Source organism: Homo sapiens, chromosome X (genome assembly GCF_000001405.40).
Source record: "Homo sapiens chromosome X, GRCh38.p14 Primary Assembly".
NCBI classification, from domain to species: Eukaryota; Metazoa; Chordata; class Mammalia; order Primates; family Hominidae; genus Homo; species Homo sapiens.
This window is the reverse complement of record NC_000023.11, coordinates 13,922,913-13,947,670: the sequence shown is the minus strand read 5'-3', so window position 1 is coordinate 13,947,670 and position 24,758 is coordinate 13,922,913. Positions and strand designations below refer to the sequence as shown.

Genomic DNA, 24,758 nt, shown 5'->3' with positions numbered 1-24,758 from the left:
AAGGAAGTTGATCGGGTGCTTTATGTCAGCTTCCTCTCCAAGGTCTGGCAGCTCCTCCTTGTAGGTCTTCCTGGCTGTCCCCATGCCGGGCGCGGGCTGCCCAGGCTTCCTAGAGCTCTATAATTTCCCTTGTACTTTCCGTCTTTCCTTCTTCCATTAAAGTTGCCTACTCTCAGGAAGGCTGATCTCAAGTAGGCATTTCCAAAGCCATCTAAATTCACACTCAAGGTGTGAGTGATCTTTAGTGTTCGGGGGCATTTGTGGTCTTAAGAGGTATGTATTTAAACTCAAAGTATTTTTTTTTTCTAATTAAATGATGGACAGTCCCACAGCATAAGAAAGTTATCTTTGTTAATTGCCTGTTGCTTCTTGCTACTTTGGGCTACTTTCTACTCACTTACTACTCAAGACCTCCTGACCTCCGCTCCTCACCAATAAGTAGACAAACAAACAAACCACTACATAATAGAAGAATGGAAATCAGCAATTTCTTTCCACCTTCCAGAGCAGATGCAGAGCCAAGGGAGGGCACCCCCTGCCTAAAATAATATGAGACAAAATTTCAAACCAGGAACATTCATCCCTTTCTTTACTGCAAAAGCTTGGAATGCCTTTGCCCTAAAGCTGCTTTCTGGCTACCCCAGGGACCCCTCTGGCTCCCCAAGGTAAAAAGAAGGGATAATAATGATAACATTAACAACAACAAGATCCGCATCAATAGCTACCATTTATTGAGTCCCAAATGATAAGTGCTTTACTCATATTATCTCCTTTAATCTCTACAACAATAATACGAGGTAAGGATTGGATTATACCCATTTAACAGATGAGGTATGTCGGGAAATAAGGTCTTAGGGGCCCAGAAGGAATAGAAGTAAACATTCAATAGACTCAGGTGCCTTATTTCTTTTTATTATTCTACTTTAAGTTGTAGGGTACATGTGCACAACGTGCAGGTTTGTTACATATGTATACATGTGTCATGTTGGTGTGCTGCACCCAGCAACTCGTCATTTAACATGAGGTATATCTCCTAATGCTATCCCTCCCCCCTGCCCCCACCCCACAACAGTCCCCAGTGTGTGATGTTCCACTTCCTGTGTCCAAGTGTCCTCATTGTTCAATTCCCACCTATGAGTGAGAACATGCGGTGTTTGTTTTTTTGTCCTTGCGATAGTTTGCTCAGAATGATGGTTTCCAGCTTCATCCATGTCCCTACAAAGGACACGAACTCATCCTTTTTTATGGCTGCATAGTATTCCATGGTGTATATGTGCCACGTTTTCTTAATCCAGTCTATCACTGATGGACATTTGAGTTGGTTCCAAGTCTTTGCTATTGTGAATAGTGCCTCAATAAACATACATGTGCATGCGTCTTTATAGCAGCATGATTTATAATCCTTTGGGTATATACCCAGTAATGGGACGGCTGGGTCAAATGGTATTTCTAGTTCTAGATCCTTGAGGAATTGCCACACTGTCTTCCACAATGGTTGAACTAGTTTACAGTCCCACCAACAGTGTAAAAGCGTTCCTATTTCTCCACATCCTCTCCAGCACCTGTTGTTTCCTGACTTTTTAATGATCGCCATTCTAACTGGTGTGAGATGGTATCTCATTGTGGTTTTGATTTGCATTTCTCTGATGGCCAGTGATGATGAGCATTTTTTCATATGTCTGTGGGCTGCATAAATGTCTTCTTTTGAGAAGTGTCTGTTCATATCCTTCGCCCACTTGTTGATGGGGTTGTTTGTTTTTTTCTTGTAAATTTGTTTGAGTTCATTGTAGATTCTGGATATTAGCCCTTTGTCAGATGAGTAGATTGCAAAAATTTTTTCCCATTCTGTAGGTTGCCTTTTCACTCTGATGGTAGTTTCTTTTGCTGTGCAGAAGCTCTTTAGTTTAATTAGATCCCATTTGTCAATTTTGTCTTTTGTTGCCATTGCTTTTGGTGTTTTAGACATGAAGTCCTTGCCCATGCCTATGTCCTGAATGGTATTGCCTAGGTTTTCTTCTAGGGTTTTTATGGTTTTAGGTCTAACATTTAAGTTTTTAATCCATCTTGAATTAATTTTTGTATAAGGTGTAAGGAAGTGATCCAGTTTCAGCTTTCTACATATGGCTAGCCAGTTTTCCCAAGGTGCCTTATTTTTTAAAAAATGTACATATATATGTAATGCATATACATGGTAAAAATTAAATAGAACACAAGGACTTATGATAAAAAACAACAGTCTCCCAGCCCTCCTCTCCTAGCCAGTGGTCTCCCTCCCAGAAACAATCTCTTTTAACTATTTCTTGTTTTGGTTCTTCTGGAAGTAACTTCCACAGTCTAGACTCATGGAAGTCAGGAAGCTTGGATTTTGGCATAAGTGTTTTTAGTTGTCACGGTGAGGGGGTGTGGGGGAACTACTGGCATTTAATGGGCCCAGGACAAGGTGACAGGCCTCCTGCAATGCACAACATGGTCTTGAACAATGAAGACATGTTCCCATTTCTCACCCAGCTTACTGTCCTCTGGACATTCATATAGATGAAAAATCTGCTTCTAATTATCAGTATATCTCCATCTCACATATAAACGTGAGATATTTGGGGGGTGGTTTTAAGACATGGTGATTTTTTTCCAGGGAGGCAATTATCTTGTAAATTGAGGGAAGATTGCACTTTCTTTTGCTGGGAAATTTACCAAGTTGTTCTCTATTTTGGAACATTGTGACTTTGATGGCAAGGTCACTCTTGGTATTTGAATTACAAAACAACACATCTCTGTAGGTGGCCTTTGTCCCACTCATGGGGATTCTATAAGTAGGTTGCTTGTTAGGTGACTTTATTACATCTTCCACTCTCATTGTACCTGAGGACTTACACATCAAGATAGACACTATGCATGCAACTATTTTCAGTTATCCTTCATAGTTAAGGAATTATATTGAGTTTTTTCTTTGATTTGGATTTAAGGAGCGCAGAAATGGCATTACAAATGTTTGTTTATAAGCAACATCAGATCCAGTGGGGTTGAGAACAATGGCCCTAGCCTAAAAAATATGCTTAGTCCTCTCTTTCTTGACTTAGCAACTTTAAACAGTATCTACTAACTCCCTGACATAAAAGATGAAGATTTATGTTACTTACATTAGCCCCCCTCCCAAATCTCTATTTTCAATCAAATTTTGACAGTATCTTTTGACTTCCACTTGAGAAGCTGAGGATATTAGCGATGTTGCTTTTTTTATAATGCACTTCATGTTTTTCAGAGCAGTTTTAGATTCACAGTAAAACTGAGCAGTGTACGGACAGTTCTCAGAGACCCCCTGCTTTGCCATGCATACCTTCCCCCACTATCGATATCCTGCATCAGAGTGGGACAGTTGTTACAATGAATGGATCTACACTGACTCATCACTTCACCCAAAGTCCATAGTTTACATCACGATTCACTCTTGATGTTGTATATTCTGAGGGTTTTGGCAAATGTATAATGACATGGATCTACCACGGTAGTATCATACAGAGTGGTTACACTGCCCTGAAAATCCTCTGTGCTCTGCCTACTCATCCCTCTCTCCCCACTAACCTCTGGCAACCACTGATCTGTGATGCTGCTTTTTCATTCATATTCTCCTGTGTTCCACTTTGTGTCAGCTACACTTTTACATTGTCAAGGTTTGCTAACATTTTCATTTAGTTGTACAAATGGAACTGTCTTTTTTCATTTTGTCCATAGGTGACCAGTTCATGGACCTCCCATTGGCTTGAGAAAGTAGCCGTCTTGCTGAGAGACAGGAGAGAAGTCTATAAAGGATATAAACCGGGCCAGGCGCGGTAGCTCAAGTCTGTAATCCCAGTACTTTGGGAGGCCGAGGCGGGCGGATCACCAGGTCAGGAGATTGAGACCATCCTGGCTAACACGGTGAAACCCCGTCTCTACTAAAAATACAAAAAATTAGCTGGGCATGGTGGCAGGCACCTGTAGTTCCAGCTACTCAGGAGGCTGAGGCAGGAGAATGGCGTGAACCCGAGAGGCGGAGGTTGCAGTGAGCCGAGATAGTGCCGCTGCACTCCAGCCTGGGTGACAGAGCAAGACTCCGTCAAAAAAAAAAAAAAAAAAAAAGGATCTAAACCATGCATGATATGCTGAGAAAGGAACTAGAGTAAGCAGGAGGTAAAGAGATTTGTAAGAATCAAACATCAAGCCAGGTTTCTGCCCATACAGGGATTGTGCTGGAGAGACAAGATCCCTGAGTGCTTATTAAACAGGAAGGAGTGAGGCACACAAGTGAGTAAATGTCCCCCAAAAGACTATAGTTAATATCACTGTATTGTATACCTGAAAATTGCTAAGAGAGTAGGTTGTTGTTTGTTTTTGGACAGGGTCTCACTCTGTCACCCAGGCTGGTGCAATCTCAGCTTACTGCAACCTCCACCTCCCAGCTAAAGTGATTCTCATGCCTCAGCCTCCTGAGGTGCTAGGATTATAGGCGCACACCACCATGCCTGGCTAATTTTTTTTTTTTTTTTTTTTTTGTAGAGACAGGGTTTTGCCATGTTGCCCAGGCTGGTCTTGAACTCTTGGACTCAGGTGATCCACCCCCGCTTGGCTTCCCAAAGTGCTGGGATTACTGGCGTGAGCCACTGCGCCTGGCCTAAGAGAGTAGGTCTTAAATGTTTTCACGACACACATACACACACACACACACACACACACACACACAGAAATAACTAGATATGGCGATAGATGTTAACTTGATTGTGATTATCATTTTACAATGTATACACATATCAAAACATCTCGTTATACATGGTAAATACATACAATTTTAATTTATCAATTATACTTCAACAAAGCTGGATAAAAAAGATTGGAACAGGCTGGGCGCAGTGACTCACGCCTGTAATCCCAGCTCTTTGGGAGGCTGAGGTGGGCAGATCATGAGGTCAAGAGTTCGAGACCAGTCTGGCGAATGTAGTGAAACCCCCGTCTCTACTAAAAATACAAAAAATTAGCCAGGTGTGGTGGTGTGTGCCTGTAATCCCAGCTACTTGGGAGGCTGAGGCAGGAGAATCACGTGAACCCAGGAGGCGGAGGTTGCAGTGAGCTGAGACTGTGCCATTACACTCCAGCCCAGGCAACAGTGCGAGACTACGTCTCAAAAACAAAAAAAAGATTGGAACAGACAAAATGCATCCTTATGGTTTATAATTATTTTGTACTCCTAGATGAGGTATCGAAGTTCTGCTAAACCTCAATTTTTTGTGTGTGTTTTGTTTTTTAGAGACAGGGTCTCGCTCTGTCGCCCAGGCTCAAGTACAATGACACCATCATAACTCACTGCAGCCTCTGCCTCCCGGGCTCAAGCGTTCCTCTTACCTCAGCCTCCCAAGTAGCTAGGACTACAGCAGTGCACCACCATGCCTGGCTAAGTTTTTTGCTTTTGCAGAGACAGGGTCTCACCACATTGCCCAGGCTGTTCTTGAACTCTTAGGCTCAAGTGATCCTCCCGCCTCAGCCTCTCAAAGTGTTGGGATTACAGGCATGAGCCACTGCATCTGGCCCCTCAATCAAATTTTAAAAATTAGTTGGAAATATGATTTTATTGATAGTTTAAAATCAAATTATTAGAAGACTGTATCTACTGTGGAGTAAGGTATGCCTGTGTTTTCCTCATTATAAAAGTAATTCTTGCTCATTATAGAAGTCCGGGAAAACATAACAAGGTATACAAATAAAACTAACAATTCTATTAATCTCACATCCCAGAGACAAACCCTGTTAATATTTTGGTAGAAGTGAATATATGGATATATTAGTTAGGGTTGGGTCGCTGTTATAACAAATAACTCCCAAAATACATAATGGCTTAAACATAATAGCAGTTTATTTCTGGGTCACAAACATGTCCAAGTCAGTTACAAATTGTCAGTGTGTGGAGGAGGACGGAGGCAAAGTCATTCAGTGACCTAGGCTGATAAGACAATTTCAACTTCAACCCGTGGCTTCCAAAAGCACCCTAGGGGTCAACGTCTCATTCCTGCTGGGAGAAGAGGAAGGCATGTAGAAGCAATATGTTTAAGGTTTTAGGGATAAGCCCGGAAGTGGTGGACCTCACTTCTGACCTCTTTGGCTACAACTCAATCAGGTAGCCGCATTTAACTGTTAAGGAGTTAAGGGGAAATGGAGTCTGGCTGTGTGGCCAGATAGAAAAAAATGTTGAAAAAGTAATAGTCTCTACCATAGTGTATTTTCTTTGTGTTTTTCAATACACACACACAGACACACACACACGTACACACGTATACACTAACATGACTAGGATTATGTTGTATATTCAGCTTTTTATTTGGCTTTTAAAACATCTCTGAGCATTTTTCTACATAATTCTTTGCAAACAAGGCTACATGATATCCGATCATACAGATCAGGGTTTCTCAACCTCGGCACTATTGACATCTGGGGCCAGATCATTCTTTGTTGTGGGGAGGGGAGCTGTCCTCTGCACTGTAGGACATTGAGCTGCATCCCTGACCCTTACCCACTGGATGCCAGTAAGCCCCCCACCCTATCCCCAGTTGTGACAACCAAAACTCTCTCCAGACACTGCTAAATGTCTCCTGGGGGCGAAATTGCTCCCAGTCAAGAACCCCTGAACTAGGTCGACAATCATTTATATAACTAATTCCCTTCTGTTGAGCAACTGTTGCTTTTTTTGTTTTGTTTTGTTGTTTTTTTGCTATTACATCTCACTCTACAATAAACCTCCTTTCACATTAATTTTGATCAAAACAGTTGTTATTTACTTAGGAGAGAGTCCCAGAAGAGGGATTATTAGGTCAGAGGCTGTGAATATTTTTAATTCTCTTGGTAGTACAGCCAAATGGCTTTCCAGAAAGGCTAGACCAATTGACTCACCCACCTGCAGGTGTAATCTTGCTTTAATTTTTAAAGATTTCAGTTACTTGAGAAAAATGGTTTATTATTTTAAGATAGCATTTCTTTGAATAATAGTGAAATGAAATATACTTACTAGCCATCATCTGCATCGTCTATAGCAGCCTTCACTAATTTCCCAAATGCTATTTTTTTTTCTTAAGGGTTTTAGGGACAATTGCTTGTTGAAATCAATCCATGATACTCACAAAGTGAGGAAAATTTTCTGTTAAAATGTGGCTTTCCCCTGATTGTATACACAATTGTTAGAACTCAGTTTTTATCACAGCATCCATTGTGGCTAGCTCCAATATTTAGACAGCTGTTCTTTCTTTGGGGAAAAAAAAGACAAAAAAAAAAAAACAAAAAAAAAAACGTAAGACTTCTAGGGAATGACAGAAAGTAGACCAAGGAGTTTACTTTCATCTCAGTACATAAAACCTTAGAGTTCCTCGTTCCAGAGAGGCTCATTAAGGTCATGTCTTGCCAAAGTACTATTTCAGATGGTCATGCCTGAGTTCCCTTCTGTTGTTTTCAGGGTCTCCTAGGAAACCCTCAAGATGTAGGAACCGACCAAACTCACCCTTCCCTCAACTAGGACTTAGCATGAATTCCTCATTGCTCTCACCCAGTCCACCTTTGTCTTCCTCTACCTTACAGGCAGCCTCTGTTATTGTTGGATTCCTACATACACTTGCACTCAGGAATGGCGCAAATGGATTACTTCCTCTTAACAGGAGGACAACAAGTTATACCTATGAGCTCCCTGTTGTTTTATGACTGCATGAAGATTGGTTAGAAATGACTATTCCCGTGGGATTGTGAAAATGAGCCACTGATCCGCCTAGCACAAATCTCTGTCCTTTCATGTAAAATATTATTAGGCTTTCTAGAGCTCTGCCTTGATAAAATCTTTCCTAATCCAATAAATTTCAATAGATGAAATGTTTGCCTCCTCCATCCTTTCTCAGTCCTAAAGCCTCTCTTTTGGCTTAAATGTCCCTAAAGTGTACTATCTATTGTCACTGTTTATGTAACCCTCTGTTCAAATAACATGATGTATTTTCAGAACAATAAAAGAACACAACAAAAAATATCAGGGGGGAACATCAGGCTCAGAAATGTCACAGAGAGCGTTAGTCCTACAAAAACTGCAAGGGTCCCATGACTCTTCTAATACCTTTGGAGACAGGAAAATTCTCTAAGGAGACAGAAGGAATTTAAGCCCTGGACACTGTTAAACCATTTAATTCACTTAAAGGCTCAAGCGCGAGGCCTGAGCAGCGGGAGAAATGGTTGACTGGAGCTAGCCTGCAAAGTCTCCAAGAGCCTTCCAGGGGTGGACTTCCAGGAATCAAGAGGGGTGATAACGGACACCAGCAAATCTGGCACCACTCTAGATTGGAGGGTGCTACCTGTGTCTTTCTAAGTCATTAGCCACCGACAAGTTACTTATGTCAATGTTTCGCAACCTTGGATGCACATTGGAATCACCTGGGGAGCTTTTAAAGAACGGATGCCTGGGTCCCACCCGCAGAGGCCATGATGAAATCCGGTTTCCAGAAGCTCCCCAGCTGATTTCTCCTCTGCAGCCAGGGTTGAGACCACTGAATTAAGTAACGACTCGTATCTGAACAAAAGGAACTGAGACTGTGGATTGAGGCAACGCTAAGTACTAAGTGCCCTTGGTCCAGTGTCCCGGGCCTCAGTTTCTTTATCTATACAACGGGTGTGGCTAAGACCTCAAAGCCCCCCGCTCCCCCCAACCTCCCCAGGCCATAATAGTTTTCATCTGGGACGCGGATCGCCGCCTCCGCGATCCTAGAAGCCCACTCCCCTCTCTACCCATCCCCCTCGCTGGCTTTTCCGGTTCCCGCGACCCTCGGCGCTCGCCCGGGGGGGTCCCAGAGGAAGCCGCGAGCTTTGCCTGCAGACTCCGCGCGCCCGCTGCCCCCAATCGGGCCCTAGCTCCGGGCGCACAAAGCCCCCGGCGCTGACGTCAGGGCCCCTCTCCGCGCGGCCGGCCCCCAGTGCAGGCGGAGCCGCGCCGCGCTCCCACCCCGGCCGGGAGCTAGGAGCCAGCGGCCAGCCCCGCGCAGCGCAGCGCAGCCCGCAGAAGCCCGGTCAGCGCACGTGCCCGCGAGACCTGCAAACTTGTGCCACCGGCTCTGCCCGTCCCCGGGGAGCCCGAACGCCCCGCAGCCCTCACCCCTCCCGCCAGTCTCCAGCCATGGGTAAGCGAGCGCGCTGGCTGCGCGCCACGGCCACGGTCTCGCGCCCCCGCCCCGGGAGGGCGCGCCCTTCCGAGGGTCCCGCCCCTCCCCCGCTCAGGTGGCGCCTCCTCGGCCACCTCTGCGACGAAGCCGGGACGCTGGAGGTGGGAGGGGCGCGGCGCAGGTGTCCGGAACGCCCAGGTGCGCTTCCCTGTTGTATCCTGTGGGGGGGGTGGTCCCCGCTCCGGCTGCGGCCAGGCTGCACCCCCGCACGTGCGGCTCGCGGGAGCCTAAGAGCTGGGTACCCGGGAGGGGTTGCAGAGAGAACAGACGGCGCGTCCCGGGCTAGTGCTTTATTTTAAGGGGCCAGTAGAGAGTCGCTTCTTGCCTGTTTCCCGGGACGCTCTCCCTGTCGCCCGAGCTCCCAGTCCAGTCCTGCCCCGCCCCGCCCCGCCGTGCTTCTGTTCTCCTTAAGCCCGCGCGAAACAAACACCCGGTTCCCCAAGCCTGGGGTCTTCCGGGAGCTCATTTCGAAACCATGACCCTTGAAACCAGGAAAGTGACAGGAGAGACTCTGGACAGCATGGGACGGAGGCTGAGTCTCTCCTCTTTGTCCCTTGTTCCAACTATTAAAATGCGGCCCGGGTGCAGGTGGAGGCGGTGTGCTGAGCGGGTTCCAATGCAACGGGGGAACGACTAGCAACGGCAAAAGGCTCAGCTCCGGAGGGTTAAAATCTGAAATCTCCAACCTGGCCCGAGGCTGGTGTAAGGCGGCTGTAGGATTCTTTTTGTCACTTCCTAACACCCTGAAATGCTGCCGTCAGCAACATGTCTTTAAGTGGGGACTCTGTATTGGGAGGAAAACTCGTAAAGAGTGCTGTGGAAATCAGCCTCATTCCGCAGCACTCCTGAAAACGTGTGACAGCTGTGCTTGGGAAAGGGTTTTTCTCCTCCTGCTCCGTTATCTTTCTCTAGTGACAGACTCCAGCCACAAGCCACAAAGACTGTGAAGAGCATTCCTAACGAGGACGTCAGTGGGTTTAACCATTGCGAGTTAATGGTGAGGGCTTGGGAATTGCTTGCCCGCTCCTCCGCTTCCCCTAATCATTCATCCCCCTCTTTCACATTATCTTTGCTATTAATTGTGTGTGGGGGGGCGATAATTTTGTACGGATTAAAATTTTGGTGAGGAGTAAAGGGGGCACTTTTTTGCATTTCAAAGGAAGCTCAAATAATTTTCTGGTTTACATTTTTAAAAAATTTACTAGGTGATCAAAATATGAAAGGAGATAAGGCCCACCAAATCCAACAGGAAAATTTCTTTCTAAAAAGGCAAGAACTAGCATAAGATCCTTCTAGAAAGGGCAGAATCGAGTGGCCTGTAACTCAGGTTCCTACTTCTCTTAATGTCCCCCATGTGAGCAGTCAAACCATTCAACCTCCGTTTTAAATGAGGCTCATACACAAAATGAGGCTCAGAGGATGACTGCTACTCAGCCTGTGATCACTTTGGTGATAATTGCCACCAAAGATGTTACAGTTACGAACAAGTGTGGTATTGAGGAAAGCATCAACTACTTTTTCTGAAATCGTTATTTTAATTTAACGCTAGGCGTTTGGATTTGTACGTGGAATTATCACACGGGGACCTTCTCCAGAACAGCTTTCACAATACTTTGGACTGATTTAGGGGTAGGGTGGGCTTCATTTTTAAACAGGTGTGGAGTTGGGTGCAGTTCTCATGAAGCAAAGGCCCGAGCCAGAGACCTGTTCTTAAGGAAGTACTTTGTGTTTTGGACAATTGTTGGCTCCACATTTCAATTGCCAATTTATGTTAATTTGTGCATACTTCACTGGTTCTGGCAGTATCCTTGGTTTTGGTTTTAGTTTTTACATTAAAAAGAAAGTTCCCTTCATGTAAAAAAGGAAACATACTGATTTCCTTTGGTAGACTCTTAGTAAATACACCACAGGGCCATGAACTGGTTTTATTTTTCCAGATGTATTTAATTACCGTGCATCCTCTTATGAATGTTTTAATTGAAATGATTTAACGTTGGGAAAATTCTGACCATTGGCCCATTAAGTCGGGACTTTGGTTCTTAATACAATTAGTTCCTTAACCAGGATCAGTTAATTTACTGGTAAAATAGATGAGGTTTGTAGAAATAAAAGTCCCTTCAGACTCAAATTTTAAGGTATTTGCAATCTTTAACCTAAAAATAAAATAATGAGTAGTGGTGATATGTGTAATTTCACTTTTCATTACATCTTGAAAGAAAACATGGGTTTTTCATTGTTAAGCCAGTTTTTTTATAGCCTTAAGATGTAATTCACATATCATACAATTCACACGTTTAAGTATACAAGTCAGTGGTCTTCAGTATATTCAGATTTGTGCAGCCATCACTACTATCTAATGTTAGAACATTGTCATCAACCCCAAAAAGAAATCTTGTACCCATTTCGCAGTCACTCCTCATTCTCTTCTCCCCCCAGCCCCTGGCAAGCACTAACCTACTTTCTGTCTCTATGGATTTGCCTCTTCTGGAGGGTTCAGGTAAATGGAATGAGCCAATTGATGTCTGAAGTGTATTTGACTGTTCAGTAACTTTGGTCGTTTTGCACAATGAGATGTTGCTGTATTGTGTATGCAGTACGCTACCTAAATGAGTGTGTTGAAACTATTTCTCTGGCTGAAGGGTTCCATGTTTGGCTGCACATATTGTGAAGGTGAGTGAGAGTGCACACACACAGCACACAGACACACACACCCTTCAGTGTTAACTCTGGTTTTATCTGATAGGAACTTGCATTGCCCAACAGAATTTTGATTCTGTTACCTTGTTCATAGGCCTGAAGGCATAGCAATTAAGTGAATTCCATGTAATAACCTCTTATAAGGCATTTGTGGAATATCCAAGCTGCTTTAATATGGCTTATGTATCCAGAGAGAAATGCGGATTTTGTTTCTTTGCCTATAATTGTTTTATTTTTATTTATTTATCTTTTGGAGACAGGGTCTCACTCTGTCCATGCTGTACTGCAGTGGCCTGATGTAATAACTCACTGTGGCCTGGAACTCCTGGGCTGAAGCAGTCGTCCCACCTCAGCCTCCCAAGTAGCTGGGACTACAGGCATGTGTCACCATGCCCGATTAAGCTTTACAGTTTTTTTTTTTTTTTTTTTTTTGTAGAGATAGGGTATTTCTATGGTGCCCAAACTGGTCTCAAACTCCTGGCCTCAAGTGATCCTCCCTCCTCTGCTTCCCAAAGTGCTGGGATTACAGGCGTGAGCCACTGTGAGTGGCCAATTGCCTATCATTTTAAATGGAAACTGTATACGAAATGATCAGATACAACAAAATATTGAAATAATTGTTTCAACCCATTTTGTGGTAAGGAAGTTTTTATAAGGATTATGTATTTAAATGTCAATAATTTCACTAAATAGCATTATAAAAAATTTTGGTCTAGAGCAGTTCTTTTTAATATGTGTACAGATCATCTAGCGATCTTGTTAAAAAAGCAGTGTCTGATTCAGTGGGCCTGGGTGGGGCCTGAGTTTCTGCATTTGTAACAAGCTCCCAGTGGGTGCTCATGCTTCTGGTTCCTGGAGCCAGGAAGCAAAGAAGGCTGTTAAGCAGAGAGGCCCTGGTGCCTGCCCCAGCTTGCCCACTAGTTTGCTGTGTGATCGTGGGTAAATCATTTTCTCTTCATAATTTTAGTTGACTATAAAATAAAAGAATTTGATGAAATTATTTCTTTGGGTCTTTACAGGTCAACCAATATGTAATTTAGAAAAAAAGAAATGAGAGAGTAATGTTATGCTTGAAAACCACGAGAAAACAGCTCCCTGATGGTCTAAACACTACTTGAATGCATGAAGCCAGCATCAGAAGTGTCACCTGTAGTTGGGTTAAATGCTGGCATCTTCGATGTGCATGCTTCCAGTATGATTGGCTCTTCTCCAAGGGAACTGGTGGAGGAAGCTATAATGTTCTCCCTCTTTAACACTTCCAGCTTTGGCTTCTCCTGACCTCTTTTCCTTAAATCCCTTTCTTCCCCGACATCCAGGCTCAAGCCACCCTCAGAGGCTGCACTCAGAAAGAAGCACGCTGAAGACCCATACATGCAATGCTTGGTTCTGGAAGCTTGCTCAGGAATTCAGATGCAGTGGGAGACAAAAAGGAATGGAATCCTGCTGAATAACTGGGCAGGAAGTGATCCCAGAATATGCTAGCTTCCCTCCCTCTGAGTCTAAAGATCTAGTAAGGAGCCCACCCTTGGATCTTGGAGAGAGCTCCCTTTTAATATCGGGACACAAACCGACATTTTGAGTAAACCTCATAGTCGAATACCACGGAGTACTGTTTGTGACAAACAGGAAGTCATTAATTCTTTATTATATTTTTGCTCTACCGAAAGCTGTTGACCAAACCACCTGGCTTCTCCGAGAAAACCCTTATCTGCTACATCCAGGACCAAGCAGCTGGATGGTTTATTGAAAATGCCAAAGGGATCAATCATAAAACGTGCCACTTATGTAGCCTAAACATTTTGTTTAACTTTAAACATTAATTTGCTGATATTTTATTGTAGAGTCAAGGCCTTTGCTTTGAGTGCAAGGACCTGATTGGAGTTCCTAGAAGTCTTTCTTACATTAAATCACAGCCAAAATTCATTGGCTTCTGATTTTCAGCTTCAGATTCTTACATTAAAGTAGAATGAAAACCTAAAGGCATTGGGAACCAATCTCTGGGCAGAATCCCTTTATATCACCTACCCCACTCCCCTTAAACCTTTAAATTTGCCCGTACTTACTTTTGCAACTATTTTCTCAAGTGACTCATTTTTGTTAAGACTCTCCAAAGTAATCAACCTGGTTTTCAAAGAAAGGAAAAAACTCTCTCGTTTGGCACTCCTATTTTATTAGTTTATGTAATATCGAATTAAGTTTCATAATTCTAGTAACAAGTACAACTGGCATAAACAGGTTTGGGAACAAACACCACTGACTCTTCTTAAGTACACTACTTGGGGGAGAAGCAGTACATACATATATTGCAAAAGAGCCTACAACCCAAGTTCTGGACAATGATCAGTATGGTTTAGAAAAAGAATGGAGGATATGGGGTAAATGGGTGGGGTCCTTTAGGTAAACATTGGTAAGAGAGCATCTGCTATATTTTGAGCCATCATCATCCATTTAATAATTTTAACATGATGGCTGGCTTGTTAGTGTTTTTCATATGCTTCTTTCTGTTCAAATACCAAATTTGTCAAGAGCAGAAATCGTTTTATTCATTGTTATACCCCAATGTTCATTGGAATGATTGGCATATTATAGGTGTTACACAAATATTTGTTTAAAAATGAGGATTCATATGCATTTTATTAAGGTCTGTCAACATTAAAATTATAGATTTCAAGGTATTTAAATTAACATTGATGTACTGCAAACTCTGGTAAACTATGCTAAAATAGGGTAAATTACGTAAATTATTGTTCTTTAATAATAATACTTTTATCACAGAATAACAATTTCAGAGCTTGAAGTTGCTTTAGAAGTAATTTGATTGCTGCCAGGCATACAGACACAGAAACAATTGAAAGAGCAGTTTGGATGTTCTTTCATTAGCTTTTTTTTTGCCTTGAGCTTTTTTTCTTCTGCTGCTATAAAATACTTTTCTTTCTCTGGTGAAAAGTACTTCCTTCTCATCAGGTTTTTGAAGTTCTGGAAAGATTGGGGTTGAAGGCTTTGTTTCCCTGAAACTCATTATTGCCCTGAGAATTAAAAGGCAATGGCAGCTTTGTGTTTCCATCCTCACCATGTGTATTAGGGTTAAATGAGTACCTACCACAATATCATGCAACTAGCATGTGCCAGTCTCTAAGCCTTTGAATTCCTGTCACATGTCCATCACCATGGGGCTCTCAGGGGAGTATTGGACAGCTGCTCACTCAGCAAGCATTCACAGAGTCCTGTTCAGATGAGCCAAGTACTGTGCTAAGTCTTGAAGCAAAAAATAAACAAGACTCTGTTCTCAAATAACCACAGTCATTTCTGAAAGGCAGATAAACAACTATAATAAAAGTACAAGATCCTGTAGGAAAAAGAGTATCTGTCTGAGGAAAAAAGCGGGGAGGTGGTATTTCAAAGAGGGATTCCCTAGGGAGGCAGTTACTTTAAATCTGAGAGTCTTCAAGCATGAGCAGGAAGATAGGGGTCAGGGTGTCCAGGTGTCTGGGAGAGGATGGTCCAGGCCCTGGATACAAATGTGTAAAAGCAGGAGCCGTGGCAGAGGCTGCTGTGTGGGTATGTTGAGTTGGGAATGGCCTCAATGTGGGGGAGTGGGGAGAGCTGAGGCCAGATTGTAAAGTACCAGGAAATAACTTGGTCATTACCCTGTTGGTCACAGAGAATCAGGAAGGGATTTTAAGCAGGCACATGGCAGCTGGAGGGAAATGACAGTCTCCCCAAGGGGATAAAAGAAACCCACTGAGAGAATCGTTTGTGTCTAACTATAAAATTCCAGATAAAAGTTTAGAAGTTCTGATAAAGGTAAAACCTTGTGGCTTATATGAAGTTTCCAGTGGTGACTTAGATTTGAGGAGTGTTGAGAAGGGTGGAAGGGATTAGGATAACCCATGAAAGAGAGGTAGGAGTGAGCAAGGTTTGTTGGGGCAATTCTGAAGAAACTGACCTGGCCATAGCAGAGAGTAGGTATGGGAGAGAGTAGGAAATACGATTTGGTCAGGGAACTGAAAGCCAGATGGGAGTAATGAATTTTAGTTGATTACAAATGGACACATATAAATGAATCTTACAAAAATGTTTTTTTGTAAGTCCATTGTTTCATCCCTTTTGAGAAGGAAGGGAAGTATTAGCTTTCTGGGATGGAAAGATATTGGGGTGATCTTTGGCATGACTACAGAGGGGTTGAGGATTGGAACAGAACCAACTTCCATGTCTATTTATTTACTCGATTATTAATTTTATTTATTTATTTTTCTTTTTTTCTTTTTTCTTTTTTTTTTGAGAAGGAGTCTCACTCTGTAGCCCAGGCTGGAGTGCAGTGGTGCGATCTCGGCTCACTGCAAGCTCTGCCTCCTGGGTTCACGCCATTCTCTCGCCTCAGCCTCCGGAGTAGCTGGGACTACAGGCGCCCACCACCATGCCCGGCTAATTTTTTGTATTTTTAGTAGAGATGGGGTTTCACCATGATAGCCTGACCTTGTGATCCGCCCGCCTTGGCCTCCCAAAGTGCTGGGATTACAGGCATGATGGATTATTAATTTTAAAAGTGGGATTTGTTGTTGTTGTTGTTTTGTTTTTGTTTTTTTGAGACAGTCTAGTTCTGTCACCCAGGCTGAAGTGCAGTGGTGTGATCTCAGCTCACTGCAACCTCAGCCTCTTGGGTCCAAGCGATTCTCCTGTCTCAGCCTCCAAAGTAACTGGGATTACAGGTATGCACCACCATGCCTGGCTAATTTTTTGTATTTTTAGTAGATACAGATTTCACTATGTTGGCCAGGCTGGTCTTGAGCTACTGACTTCAGGTGATCTGCCTGCCTCAGCCTCCCAAAGTGCTGGGATTAAAGGTGTGAGCCACTGTGCCCAGCCATTTTTTTTTCCTTAAATATTTGCAAGAATTTACCAGTGAAGCCAGTTGGGTCTGGAGTTTTCTTTGTAGAAATGTTTAAGTTATGAAGTGTATTTCTTTAGCAGAGGAATATTCAGACTTTCTCTTTGTTTCAATTTTGGTAAATTGTGGCTTTCAAGGGCTTTGTCCATTTTATCTAAGTTATTTGTTGGCACAAAGTTGTTCATAATATTTTGTATTATCTGTTTAATCCTGTTATCTATAGTATCTGTAGTGATGTTCCCTTGTTCGTTTCTTTTTTTTTTTTTGAGACGGAGTCTCGCTCTGTTACCCAGGCTGGAGTGCAGTGGCACGATCTCGGCTTACTGCAAGCTTCACCTCCCGGGCTCACGCCATTCTTCTGCCTCAGTCTCTCGAGTAGCTGGGACTACAGGTGCCCACAACCACGCCTGGCTAATTTTTTGTATTTTTAGTAGAGACGGGGTTTCACCGTGTTAGCCAGGGTGGTCTCGATCTCCTGACCTCGTGATCTGCCCGCCTCGGCCTCCCAAAGTGCTGGGATTATAGGTGTGAGCCACCGTGCCCGGCCTCCCTTGTTCATTTCTAGTGATGTAGGTAATTGGTATTCTCATTATTTTTCTTGATCAATATTTCTAAAATTTATTTTAATAGCTTGATACTTACATGTAATAATTATATCTGATAGGTAAGTTGACCACTTAATGAAAAAGGAGTACATTTTCTAGTAATCAAAAATAGAATTTAAGTATCTAAAAGTAAGAATTGCTTACTTGGTTAGAAAAAAATAAAATCTGCCAAAAGAAAAAGTATTTAAACCTGATCTTTGGAATTTTACTCTTAATGGCTGTATATAATTCAGTATATTTGAACTTGGTATAACAAGGTCTATTATAAACAATCTTGAGTTAGAGTAGATCTTGAGTTGAGCTTAGTATTTGCTTGGGTATTTATTTGTTTAGTTTTTGTAGGACTGTTAAATTCTATTTTCTTCTTTGGACCAACTGGAGATAGATACTAAAATAAAAGAAGTCCTTTTTTCTTCCTTTCTAAGTATAGTTTTAGAGCAGGGTTTCTCAACCTCAGCACTATTGACATTTTGGGCTGGGTGATTCTTTGTTGGGGGAGTATGAGGGCTGTCCTGCGCATTATAGAGTGTTTTGCAGCATCTGTGTTCTCTACATACTACATGTTGTAACAGTCCTCTAGTTGTAACAACCAAAAATGTCTCCAGACATTGCCAGATAACCCAGGGAGGGAGGAGGGGAGCACCATATTGATTACCACTACTTAAAGGGTAAGAGGGATTGAAAACCTTTTGTTTCTCACAATATCATAAAATCTGAGTAGTAGCATTGTTGAGAACTTGGTTGAGCACATCTGCAGAATGGGAGGATTTCTTGTCTAAAAGGTTTTTCTTTCCAAAAGGAATGCTTGGTTTTTTTTAGTTGAAGGAAGTTTTTTTTTTTTTAATCTTTTTCTTACATCATCAGAGAATCTGGAGATATAATGGGGAGCTTTGCAGACCACCTAAGTCATTCTTCCTTGGAGTAAAATGGTGCCTAAACCATCTCGATAATGAGGCCAACCTCCTGGGGAAATAGTGTGCCTGGCTTTCCTTGGTAACTTCTAATGATTAGTGCACCTTATCTCTGAAAGGACTGAATCTGTGAAGATCCTTTTGCTTACTAAAATAGTTTTCATCATCTTTTGTTCTCATTAAGTGGAAAGACATGAAGGATCTAGTCACATCCTTAGTTACCTTGATGGCCTTTCCAAATTTAGAATTCATCTTCTTAGCTGTAATCAAATCTAACCAGATTAAGCCCTTAAGGCAACCTTCCTGCACGTTCCGTCCTTAGTCATGTCTTCATTACGTTTGTTCATGTGTTTGAGAGATGCAGGAGTTGGAAGAGAAAGGACTGATTTCCCCCTTGTTTAGAGATCCGTTTTCTATAGCCATTGATCTCTGCCATTCCTACATCCCAGCCCCCACAACCTAGACTCCTCCCTGCAAATGGAGACTATAAGTCAATGTTTTCTGAGACATCTGACCATACTTGCAAAATAGTTCCAGCGCAAAAAGAACAAGAACATTGGAAGCGAGGGTCAGAAGGAGCCTAGAAAACCTGCTATATTGTATGTGCATTGGGTCACTGTTTTAGATTTAGAAATGTTTCACAATGTCTTCCCGAAAAGAATGTTTAAATGGTGGATTTTAAGATGGGTGCTTAAATTCAGGCATCTGTTCCTTCACACAATGGGCAAAGAATGGAAATGTAATTAGCAATGTAAGTCAAGCTCTTAAGATAATGTGATTTGATGCAGTACTTTATATTTTCCTTTTTGTTTTCTCATTTGGCATATTCTGACAGTTTCCATGGTAATTAAAAAGAATTTGGGACCTTAAAGGGATGAATTTCCATCCTATGAATTCTTACCATTTTGCAAAGCCACTGTACCGGTTTACTAAAAACTGTTTTGAGCTCTATTATATGATGTCACAAATATTTTTAGATGTTTTGTAAGAGGCACAAATATCGTAAACTCATTAAAAATTGTTATTGAAGTATAATATGTGTACACGAAAAGTGGGCAAATCATAAGTGTACAGCTTAATAAGTTTTTATAAATGTAACCAGCAGTTATAGATTAATAAGCAGAATATTACCAGCCCCTTAGAAGCCGCCTCAGGCTGCCTTACAGATATACCTGATCAAGGCTAATCACCCCTAATTTCTGTCAGCAGAGCTTTGCACTTTATATAAATGGAATAATACAGTATGAGCTCTTGTGACTGGTGTGGCTTGCCCAACATTTGATAACATTATTTTGAAACAGGAGGATGTTTTCTGTCTGGAAAAGAGATCTGCTTCTAAATCATTATGGTTAAAAGCATTTATTAAATGCTTTCGTGTGTAGAACCGTACTAGGAAGTACACATATCATTGGTTCCTACCCTCTATTTTAAGTGGAAAGCATTGACACAGCAGCTGTGAGAAGGACTTTGAAAATCCTTGATGAAAGATGAGATAGATACATGAAAACATGTATACAGCTGGAGAGATTACAAAAATAAAGTGTCCCCATTATCCCCTTCAGAAATGGAAAGTACATTTTGAGGAGTTGTGAATGAAGACAAAGCTGTAAGTGTTGCATACCTATTCAGGATTTGATCAACGTGAATGCTTGCTAACTTCAGGACTTAAGGATGTAATAGATGTTGAGGCCTGCCTCCTCCCAATTAGTTTCCTGTAGAAGGTGAAATTTTAGGAATTGTTTGAATTAGCAGTAGTTAGTGAATCTTTGGCTAGTGGATATTCCAAATGGAGTAGAGGTGTGGACAAAGGCCCAAAGGCCTGGGATGATTTTTGGTTCTCATCCTGAAAATGGAACTACATAGGAAATTGTGGTTTGCCAGTTGACTTTTCTTCTCGTTTGTTTGGACTTAGACAATAATACTTTGCCTATGTTCCTTCAGTGAGGAACTTTGTCATCTTCTTAACCAGAGTAAATGATGCAGTCAGCAAAATGAATGCTTTGTCACCACACTGAACTAGCTTTAAATCGTATGGTGTTACCACTGCTTCTCAAGTGGTGGTATCAATTTATACTCTCACCAGGAGTGAATGAACATTCCAGCTTCTTTGTATCTTTACCAGCATTTGCTATTGTCACATTGTTTATTTTTTCAAATATCTGATAGGTGTGAAGTGGTATTTCATTGTTTTTTTTTTTATGTTGAATTTCTCTAGAGAGGTTGAAAGTTTTGTGTAGGTTATTGGTCATTTGGGTTTTCTCTTCCATTTAGATCCTTATTTGTATTTGTCTTGATTTGTAGTAGTTCTTTATGCCTTCTGTATACTAATCCTTAGTTAAAATGTGTTTTCAATATCATCTTCCTCTCTATGGCTTATCTTTTAACTTGGTTGAATACATCTTTTGTTGTACTAAATCTTTTTTATTGTAATAAAGTCCTAATTATCAATCTTTTCCTTTAATTTTTTATGACTTGTGCTTTTTATCTTTGCCTTGTTTTAAAATTGTTTCTATCCCCAAAGTCATGAAAATGTTCTTCTAATCCTCAGTATTTTCTAAAAGAAAGTTTTTCTAAAATCACGCTTTTCACTTTTCAGCCTTTATTCCATTGGGATTCTATTTTTTGGTATAGTTTTAGATAGAAAGCTATTTTTAAATTTGTTTATTTCCTATACAGAAATACCATGCACTTAATAATTCACTCTTTCCTCCCGATAATATCTATATCTGTACTTCCTTACTATATGTGTGAGTACATCTATGGACTTCATTCTATTCCTTGATCTGTTTTGGCATCTCTGTGCTACTATTACACTGTCTTCATTACTATAGATTTAGAGTAAGCCTGGCTATTTCTTAGGAGAAATTTTCCCCTTTTGCTCTTATTTAAAAGTGACCTATTCTTGATCCTCTGCTTTTTTTGTGTGTTTTTTTTTTTTGTTTGTTTGTTTTTTTGAGATGGAGTCTCGCTCTGTGTCACCCAGGCTGGAGTGCAGTGGCGCAATCTGGGCTCACTGCAAGCTCCGCCTCCTGGGTTCACGCCATTGTCCTGCTTCAGCCTCCCGAGTAGCTGGGACTACAGGCGCCCGCCACTACGCCCGGCTAATTTTTTGTATTTTTTTTTTAGTAGAGACGGGGTTTCACCGCGTTAGCCAGGATGGTCTCGATCTCCTGACCTCGTGCTCTGCCTGCCTCGGCCTCCCAAAGTGCGATCCTTTGCTTTTGGAATCAGCGTTTTATGCTCCACAAACATACCTGTCAGGATTTTGAGTGGGGTTGCAGTGAACTTATAGAATAATTTTTTTTTTTTGAGATGGAGTCTCGCTCTGTTGCCCAGGCTGGAGTGCAGTGGTGCGATCTCGGGTCGCTGCAAACTCCGCCTCCTGGGTTCACGCCATTCTCCTGCCTCAGCCTCCTGAGTAGCTGGGACTACAGGCGCCCGCCACCATGCCTGGCTAATGTTTTTGTATTTTTAGTAGAGATGGGGTTTCACCATGTTAGCCAGGATGGTCTCGATCTCCTGACCTCGTGATCCACCTGCCTCGGTCTCCCAAAGTGCTGGGATTAGAGGTGTGAGCCACGGCGCCTGGCCAGAATAATTTCATGATAGTCAATGTATTTACTATATTAAGTCTTTCATTTGTGTATATGGTATATCTCTTCATACATTTAGATTTTCCTTTGTACCCCAAGATGTTTTTGCATACCTTTAAAAATTTTATTTCAAGGTCCCTCATAGTTTTTGTGGCATTTTTTAAAGGTAAAATGTAAGGTAATCCCAGTGCTTTGGGAGGCCAAGGCAGGAGGATCACTTGGGGCCAGGAGTTTGAGCAACATAGCGAGACCCCATCTCTACCAAAAAAAAAAAAAAAAAGCCAGACATGGTGGTGCCTGCCTGTAGTTCCAGCTACTTGGGAAACAGAGGTGGGAGGATTGCTTGAGCTGAGGATTTTGAGGTTACAGTGAACTATGAATTGCACTCCAGCCTGGGTGACAGAATGACACTCTGTTTCTAAAAAATAAAAAAGTAAAGCAATTAGGGTTAAATCTAATTCCATGCAATGCCATGGTTCCCTTCCATAGACCTGTGACTTCTGAAAGTCCAGCTGGATGGACAAACTTGTTCAGATTAGCATAGAAACTGTGAAGGGAAGCTGATTCTGAGTTATCACATACCAGCCTGGTCATAAGAGCTGTATATGGTAACTCTGTGACTATGTCCCAGAACCTGCTGAGTAGCAAACGTATGGGATGCATCATGGGCTACATCCTTTGAATAGAATTTCATCTCTTCCTGGAAGAGAACAGAATCCATCATCACTGAGGGAAAACTCAGTTTCTAAGCTGAGTTTTAGCTGCTTGCTTGTGCTATATTTTCCAACTAGTAGTATTTTCATGAAAGATATTGATTTCATTGTCATATTGATGCAGAATGAGAAGTCAAATCAGTTCTTCTACTAATTCAAGAATAAAATCTGTTTGCCAATGGAAGACAAAGCTAGTGGGTAACATACCACAATTAATTTTGCTTGCCTGATATTTTCTCCAAGAGCAGGGAGCCCATGAGTCCTGGGAGTCACATGTTGAATGTTAAAACTTCCAAACAGTGATAGAGTTCACAATTTAGCTAAGAAGGGACCTCATCAAAGTCCACAGGAGTCCTGAAGATGGGATCCTGTTTTTAGATATTTATGCAGAATACAAGAAAAGAGGAAATAGAGTTTGAGTTAGATATTGGAATATCCTTCCGTTGAAGGTGGTTGTGGCCGGGCATGGAGGCTCATTCCTGATCCCAGCACTTCGAGAGGCCGAGGTGGGAGGGTCGCTTGAGCCTAGCAGTTTGAGACCAGCCTAGGAAACATGATGAGGCCCTGTTTCTATTAAACTAAATTTTAAAAATTAGCCTGGCCGGTGATACGCACCTTTAGTCCCAGTTACTCAGGAGGCTGAGGTGAGAGGATTGCTTGAGCCTAGTAGATCAAGGCTGCAGTGAGCCATGATTGCGCCACTGCACTCCAGCCTGGGCGACAGAGTGAGACCTTGTCTCAAAAAAGAATAAAAATAAAAAATAAAGGATCGATTTTATCCATTCACCAAATACTTATTAGACTGAGTGCTAAGCTTGTAATAGAAGGATGGTTAAGTCATGATTTTCACACCCGGTAAGTGATTTGGTCCCATGCAGGTGAATTAAGGTTATATGCAGATGAGTCTGCTGTGTAGCAATTGTACTCTGTGTTGGCTAGTGATGACGTGTAACAGTTTCTGCCCTCAAGGCACTCTGCCTTCATTGAGGATAGTCAACAAGGTAACACCTGTCATGATCCCATGTGGAAAACGTTACGGATAAAACAGGTGGAAGACCCACAGTGCCACTCAGTGGAGGTAAAATGCCCGGGAGGAGCCTTGGAGGGTGAACTAAAGTGAAATGAGATATTTTTACTTAAACCAACCTTCACCATATCATAACATAAGAAAATAAAAAAGAAAATAAAAATCCTTAATATGTTAAAATGCAGATTTCTTCTATAAGAAAAATATGACTTGATGTGCACCATTACAAAGACCAAGTTTACATTCAAGATGCAAATTCTTGGTTGAAAGAAAGAAAAAAGGCCAGTTTTTATTATCTTAGAGCGATACAGCTAAAGTAACCCAGGAAAGATTTAATTGGAGCTCTTCTGTTCAAACATTACTTCCATGTTTGGAGATGTTATTCATGATAATGAAATTTCCTTGGTCAATTCAAGATTACCTAGTTTCCCTAAGACATTTAATGGAAAACTTCTCCTGGCAGATTTTACATAGCTGCTCACCCTGCGAAGAAGGGGCCAGCACTTGGGCTGTAGCAAGAGCTTGATTTATTCCGGAAAGCAGTTTGTTCAGCTGTCAAATGAGATTATATGTGTGGCTGTTAGCCATCACTTCACAGAAATATTCTTATTCCTCAACAAGGCCTCAAACTTTTGTTTATTTAAGGGCAACAAAAATCACAAATGTAGATTCTCCTAAAACATCTCTTTGGAAATGTGATTTTTCACAGGGTGCTGCCATTCCCTGTCTGCTGATGATGGCTACAACCAAACTGGACTGCCAGACATTTTCTACATGTCACCTGCTGTCCCTGGGCAGCAGTATCCCCCACTAGCCAGCACACTTAGGTATGCTTAGGTTTTTTTTTTTTTTCTGAGACGGAGTTTCACTCTTGTTGTCCAAGCTGGAGTGCAATGGCGTGATCTCAGCTTATTGCAACCTCTGCGTCCTGGGTTCAAGCTATTCTCCTGCCTCAGCCTCCCAAGTAGCTAAGATTACAGGTGCGTACCACCACACCAGGCTAATTTCTTGTATTTTTAGTAGAAATGGGTTTCACTGTGTTAGCCAGGCTGGTCTCAAACTCCTGACCTCAGGTGCTTTGCCCGCCTCGACCTCCCAAAGTGCTGGGATTACAGGCG

At 42.0% G+C, this 24,758-nt stretch overlaps 1 protein-coding gene across 4 annotated transcripts in view; it reads left to right on the top strand.

Moving 5' to 3' along the window:
- The window catches only part of GPM6B (glycoprotein M6B), a 167,700-nt gene continuing 151,974 nt past the window's right edge, over positions 9,033-24,758 (top strand). For all 4 annotated transcript variants that reach the window (NM_001318729.2, NM_001001994.3, XM_011545497.3 and 1 more), the window contains exon 1: positions 9,033-9,164. In NM_001318729.2, coding sequence (NP_001305658.1) covers positions 9,161-9,164 — 4 coding nt within the window. In that variant the 5' untranslated portion in view covers positions 9,033-9,160. The remainder of the gene's footprint in view (positions 9,165-24,758) is intronic.